At 44.3% G+C, this 7,075-nt stretch overlaps 1 protein-coding gene across 1 annotated transcript in view; it reads right to left on the bottom strand.

Moving 5' to 3' along the window:
• The window catches only part of ATL2 (atlastin GTPase 2), an 84,631-nt gene extending 83,800 nt beyond the window's left edge, over positions 1–831 (bottom strand). The window contains exon 1 of the mRNA NM_001330462.1: positions 269–831. Coding sequence (NP_001317391.1) covers positions 269–371 — 103 coding nt within the window. The 5' untranslated portion in view covers positions 372–831. The remainder of the gene's footprint in view (positions 1–268) is intronic.
• Between the last annotated feature and the right edge of the window lie 6,244 nt (positions 832–7,075).

A 7,075-nucleotide genomic window follows, 5' to 3' on the forward strand; every position in this document is an offset into this window, starting at 1 on the left:
CATTCCCCTCCTCTCTCCCCATCCACCCCCCAAGTTGTTGCCAGTGCCCTGCTTTTCCTCTTGATCTTTTCTTTCCTCACCCAAGTCCCTACTGTTGCTTCCCCTCCCCCCCACCATCCTAAGGTTTGTTTGCATTCGCTCCCCATCTACTTATGAGACCTTCCCCCATCTTCTCAACTGTGTATACCCTGGCCCTGTGCTCCTAGCACCTTGCAGAGGCATGCCAGAAAGCACTCTAATCGGAAAATGAATCGTGGCAGGTTCTTACCTAATTGTGATGAACCTTCTTCTGGGGATCCAGTGACATCCAGTAGAAAGTTCAGGTCACTTTTTAAATTACAAGTCAGCCCGTGGAGGCGTCTGTGAAACATGATCCCTTTGGATTTTTACCATACTGCCAGCTGCATTAGAAATTCCTCTTCTCCAGTAAAAACAGATGTCCGGGTGTACAAACAGCTGTTTTGTCCAGGTCTTTTCATAAGTCTAAAATTCACAGCATGCACAATCTCTAGAAAAGCACTGGTGTTATTAAAGCTTTCAAAATACCATTCTAGGTAGGGCATGGTGGCTCACGCCTCCCGGGTTCAAGCAATTCTCTGCCTCAGCCTCCGGAGTAGCTGGGATTACAGTCCCCCGCCACCACACCCTGCTAATTTTTGTATTTTTATAGACACGGGATTTCACCATCTTGGCCAGGCTGGTCTTGAGCTACTGACCTCGTGATCCACCCGCCTCAGCCTCCCAAAGTGCTGGGATTACAGGCGTGAGCCACTGCGCCCGGCCCATCCAAATATATTTCAACAGAATATGGAGTTTGTCATCATTGTCACATAAATCTAGGAGAATAACTATATACGTGTTCTTGGCAATATTCTTTGAGTTACTAAGATTCTAGTTCTGGGACTTGAACCACCTCCACAATCTAAAGTACAGTTACCCTTCCCCCTCGTTCATATTGATGGCAGGATCTTTATCAACTTGTTAAGTGATATTCCTCTTACGTCCTTGTGATATATGATTTGGAGAGCTCACTTTGTCAAGACATTTTCTGTTTTATCATTGGCCTGAAAAACGTAGTATTGAAAAGGAAGAAAAAGAAGAAGCAGAAGCAGAAGAAGGAGGAGGAGGAGGAGAAGAAGGGCAAAAAAATCTTCACGAGGATTGTTCTACAAAGATTTATTTACTGTCATTTACTCACTAAAAAACATTTGCTTAGGCACATAGAAAAAAGAAACCATTTACAAACAGCACAGCATAGGCCATTTGCTAAATTAAGGTTGATACAGTCAGTGACAACAAAAAGCTACCTGAATCCTTACCAAAGTGCAGTGTTCACCTAAGCCAAATCACCCTCTATGCTTAGTATAGGCAGTCCTTTGGAAGATATTGAATATCTTACATGTAATAAAAGACCTTATGGTTTCCCTCACTGTGCCTTCGATTTTAAGGACTTCAATTCTATCTACTAATCTAGGCTGCTACCCCATGTGTTTCGTGTTTTGCTTTGCTTTTCTCTTTTCTTTTCTTTTTTTTTTCCTTGCCTATGTTCTTCTCTTTTTGGTGTTCTGCCTATCTTGGCTCCCAAACCCACTCTCTCCCCCATCTGTGGTTACTATGCCTGAATCAAGAGAGGTCAAACGCTTATTTAAAAAAAAAAAAAAAAGGCTGGGTGTGGTGGCTCATGCCTGTAATCCCAGCACTTTGGGAGGCCGAGGTGGGGCGATCACCTGAGGTCAGCAGTTCAAGACTAGCCTGGCCAACATGGTGAAACCCCATCTCCACAAAAATACCAAAATTAACTTGGCATGATGGCGGGTGCCTGTAATCCCAGCTACTCGGGAGGCTGAGGTGGGAGAATCACTTGAACCTGGGAGGTGGAGGTTGCCGTGAGCTGAGATCGTGCCATTGCACTCCAGCCTGGATGACAGCGTGAGACTCCATCTCAAAAAAAAAAAAAAATAGGCTGACCCTGGGTACACTGCCTGTGAGTTAGCCCTACTCCGCAAGGAGCAATACCATTCAAAAAAGACTGCTGCTTAACACCACCAGCTCAAAAAAAAAAAGAATTAATTAATTAATTTTTTGCTGTCCGGAAAAAAGTCAGTGATTCCTAAGGAAAATTTTTCCTTGCCACCTCTCAGGGAGACATTCCGTCTTATAACTCTTCTATGGGAAAGCACGGGGTACTGAGAATATGAGAACTGACAAGAACTTGCCCTACAATCATTTTAACCTTCATGGAGATGGTGTAAGATAGAAGGAATGGGCCAGGCGCGGTGGCTCATGCCTATAGTCCCAGCACTTTGGGAGGCCAAGGTGGGTGGATCCCTTGAGCTAAGGAGTTTGACACCAACCTGGGCAACATAATGAGAGCCTGTCTCTACAAAAAATACGAAAATTAGCCAGGCACGCACCTGTAGTCCCAGCTATGGAGGAGGCCAAAGTGGGAGGATTGCTTGAGCCCATGAGGTCGAGGCTGCAGTGAGCCAAGATCACACCACTGCACTCCAGCCTGGGTGGCAAAAAAAGAAAAAAGATAAAAGGAAAGTTCCTCCCTGTGAGAGGTAGAGATTTAGATATCCATTAGTGGAAACCACTCACTTGCCTGGGGTGATATCAGATGGACGGGGCAAGGTTAGAGTAGAGAGAAGCCAAAGACAAATATAAAGCAGTGTTGTCAATAGAAAAGGTGTTGGATATTGCTGAGGCTGAAATGAGATAAACTACACTCTCCGAGAATGAAAAAGGCTGTCTTTGTTGTGGGCAAACTGCATCTCTGCAGACCTTGTTATCTTTTCAGTGATGCGTTTCCTGAAAGTTTTGTTTAAGCTACACCATGCTTGCAAACTGTTGCTCCTTTTCTTGTGCAAGAATGGTTGACAGAAATGAAGAAGTTGTTTCTCTGAGACTATGTGAAATTCTGGACGCAGGCAGAGCTGCTTCAGGGCCAGGTTACAAAAAGCAGAACAGGGCTAGGAAATTTTCCTCACAGACCTGAAGCACTGGAGGTACTACAGAGCAACGAGCTTGACTCAGTCGCCAATATTCTCATGATGGACTCTGTAGGCTCCGTTCGTTGACCTGAGGGGTACAGACCATTGATTTGTCCCAGAAGTTGTACAGTGACTGTGGCTAATGAACCGATTTGCCACAGGCGAGGCTTCCTTTGGGGGAGGGGCCAGGGAGGAAATATTTTGTAGGGACAGAGGGAAATCGGAGTTCCTGCTAGAGTAGATGTGGACAAGAAAATGGACTCTAGTCTTGGCTTTATGTTTGTACTTGAAAAGTAAGTAAATAGAAGAGAATAGAATAGGGACTCTGGGTTATTGACTGGCAGAAAAATTTTATTTATATCCAAAGCTAGTGATTCAGGGTCATTGGGATAGACCTTCTAAAGGAGATTAAATTAAGAACATCAAGAATTGCCAGGTGCAGTGGCTCACGCCTATAATCCCAACATTTTGGGAGGTCGAGGGCGGGGTGGGGGGGCGCGGATCACAAGGTCAAGAATTCAAGACCTGGCCTGGCCAACGTGGTGAAACCCTGTCTCTACTAAGAATACAACAATTAGCCAGGCATGGTGCCTGTAATCCCAGTTACACAGGAGGCTGAGGCAGGAGAATTACTTGAACCCAGGAGGTGGAGGTTGCAGTGAGCCGAGATCCCACCGCTGCACTCCAGCCTGGGCAACAAAGCAAGACTCCATCTCGGAAAAAAAAAAAAAAAAAGAAAAGAAAAAAAAATCAAGGGTTTCTGTGGCTAATATTTGTTGTAGGAGCCTGGACATGGGCGCATACCTCTCTGGCACAGCCATTCATGCTGATACTTGCAGGCATCTTCAAAGGCATGTATTAGCCCCATATGAAACACTGTGAGTAGATGGGTTTCTGCCTGGGTTTACTGCTTAATATTAGGTGTTCCTTTTTTTTCTAGAGCAAGGGATAGATGGCTGTCCCTTGTTAATGCAAGAGGGAAATAATGATTCTTCCCAGCTGAATTCCTCTGCAGAGGCAATGACTTAAACTGGGATACATGAGTATCAGTAGGGCTTAGTGGAAAGAACAGCAGCTTTGAGTTCGCACCCCAGCTCTATCTACCTCTTGGTTTTATGACCAAGATCATTAACCTCTCTGACCTTCAGTTTCCTCTGCTGTAAAGTAAAGGTCTCTTCCTTGCATGTTTCATTATGATCATAGATCACGTAGATAAAGTATTTAGCCTAGTGCTGGCACATGGCAATAAATGATAGCCATCATGATTAATGCTCCAATAAAACAGCTCTTTTAAGTCTAAGAAGGGATTAAAGAGCAAGAATACCATTAGTAATAATACCTGTTCATAATTTCATTTAATCTACAAAATACTTTGATGAGGCAAGGATTATTGACATCATCCTCACCATCAGCATTCTACAGAAACGGGGACTTTAAAATGTTACTTAATTTCTTCAAGGCCATATGACTACTAAATTGAAGAGCTAAAATTTGAACCCCCAAATTCTGTCTGTTCTGAGAGCCCATGTTCTATTTTTTTTTTTTTTTTTTTTTTGAGACCGAGTAGCTGGGACTACAGGCGCATGCCACCACACCCAGCTAATTTTTTGTATTTTTAGAAGAGATGGGGTTTCACCATGTTGCCAGGGTGGTCTCGATTTCCTGACCTTGTGATCCGCCTGCCTCGGCCTCCCAAAGTGCTGGGATTATAGGCATGAGCCACCACCACTGGCGAGAGCCCATGTTCTTTTTTTTTTTTTTTTTAAAGACGGGGTCTCAGGCTGGGCGCGGTGGCTCATGTCTGTAATCCCAGCACTTTGGGAGGCCGAGGCAGGCACATCACAAGGTCAGGAAATCGAGACCACCCTGGCTAACATGGTGAAACCCCGTCTCTACTAAAAATACAAAAAATTAGCTGGGCATGGTGGCACGTGCCTGTAGTCCCAGTTACTTGGGAGGCTGAGGCAGGAGAATCACTTGAACCTGGGAGGCAGAGGTTGCTGTGAGCCAAGATTGCACCACTGCACTCCAGCCTGGTGACAGTGTGAGACTCCATATCAAAAAAAAAAAAGACAGGGTCTCACTCTTGACACCCAGGCTGGGGTGCAATGGCACGATCTCGGCTCACTGCAACCTCCACCTCCTGGGTTCAAGCGATTGCCCTGCCTCAGCGTTCCCAAGTAGCTGGGATTACAGGTGCGCGCCACCACGCCCGGCTACTTTTTGTATTTTCAATAGAGATGGGGTTTCACCATGTTGGTCAGGCTGGAGCCCATGTTCTTAACCGTGTATCTTCAGATAACACACTGGCATTGTGGCTAGGCACTGAAAACTCTACAATCACCTTCTACAGACAACTAAATAGCTAGAAGCATAGCTTCTGGATGTCCAGAAGACTGTTTTGAATAGCTGGAGAGGATGAGGTGCAGATTTAGGGCACCCATGATCAAGATAACTGGCACTGTCCTAGATGCAACTGGTAGCTCCTACTTGAACGACTGACTACTATAGAGTTCATAGGTGTCTTGCAGTTACTAAAATGATTTAGTAGCAGGAGGAACAAAAGTTCAAATCCAGAAACTGGACTTGTTTATGTTTGGAAAAATAGATAGATACTGGTTTTTTAATTACAATTCGCATACAAAAGAACACTGGCAGGAACTCTAGGCACAATATAATATCCTATAGTACATTTTCAAAAATAAAAATGAAGGAGTGGCCAGGCGCAGTGGCTCACGCCTGTAATCCCAGCACTTTAGGAGGCCGAGGCGGGCGGATCGCCTGAGGTTGGGAGTTTGAGACGGGCCTGACCAACATGGAGAAACTCCATCTCTACTAAAAATACAAAATTAGCTGGGCGTGGTGGCGCATGTCTGTAATTCCAGCTACTCGGGAGGCTGAGGCAGAAGAATCGCTTGAACCCAGGAGGCGGAGGTTGCAGAGAGCCGAGATCGTGCCATGGCACTCCAGCCTGGGCAACAAGAGCTAAACTCAGTCTCAAAAAATAAGTAAATAAAAACAAAACAAAAAAAGGAGTGAAAGTAAACACCATTACGCAGAAAACATGCTTGTAGCTTGAAGCGAACATGGCCGTGTGCTTTAGGCTCCTCTGAAAACGGGGTGGTGAATGGTATCCTCTTTGAACAGCCTGTCTGGACCGCGCCTAATGTGTTTCTCATAACTGGCCTGCCCTCAGGAATGCCTTTGAAATCAGTGGGAAATCCAGACTGCATAGAAGGAACTGTATATCTTGGCCTCTTTTAAGATTAAGACAATATCTACATAGGCCTTATTACAGCCAACATACTGTTCTTGTAACTGGAGAGCAGCCAAATCTTTCTTTCCAACTCACACTCAAGCTAAATTCCTAACTTCTAAAAACTGGCTGGCTGGTTGGTAGGAAGAAACACTGCACCTTGACAATGTCCTTAGAGTCACTGTCCATGTTGTAACCTATTTAATTCTTGGATTCACGGCCACTAGAGTCATTTCGTTATTATACTTTGATGGTGAAATCTGTACTCACCTCAAACACTTCCTCCTAGACTCACACCATTTCTCCCCTTCCCAAATATTCTTGGGGTCTGTCTTCAATTATAAATGCTCAGAATACGAGTTCCATCTTTTCATTTTCCCCACAGTTCTTTGCTCAGACTCAAATATTGCATGTAATGCCACTGCCACTTGGTCGGCCTGGCAAATATTTATCTTTCAAGCTTATCCTGATCACCCTCCAAGAAGGCGAGCTATAGTAAGACATAATAAAATGACTGTTGTTTTAAGACATTTTGTTTTGTAACTGGAGAGCAGCCAAATATTTCCTTTCATCTCTGTAATTTGCTATAGAGCAACTGGTAACCAGAACACATACCCTTGGTGTCATACCAATATATAAACATATATATGTGGTAAATGCATAAGCAAATACAGAGCAATAATAAACTCTGAATTCAGATAGTGCTAATCACTCTCTGTTAAAGTTACTTGTTTGCTTCTGCTGTCTAAAGCAGTGGCTCTTAATTTTTTCACATTGTTTTGTTTTACAGTGATACAAATGACAAATGGCACTCACCAACAGGACA

Source organism: Homo sapiens, chromosome 2, assembly GCF_000001405.40.
Source record: "Homo sapiens chromosome 2, GRCh38.p14 Primary Assembly".
Taxonomy (NCBI): domain Eukaryota; kingdom Metazoa; phylum Chordata; class Mammalia; order Primates; family Hominidae; genus Homo; species Homo sapiens.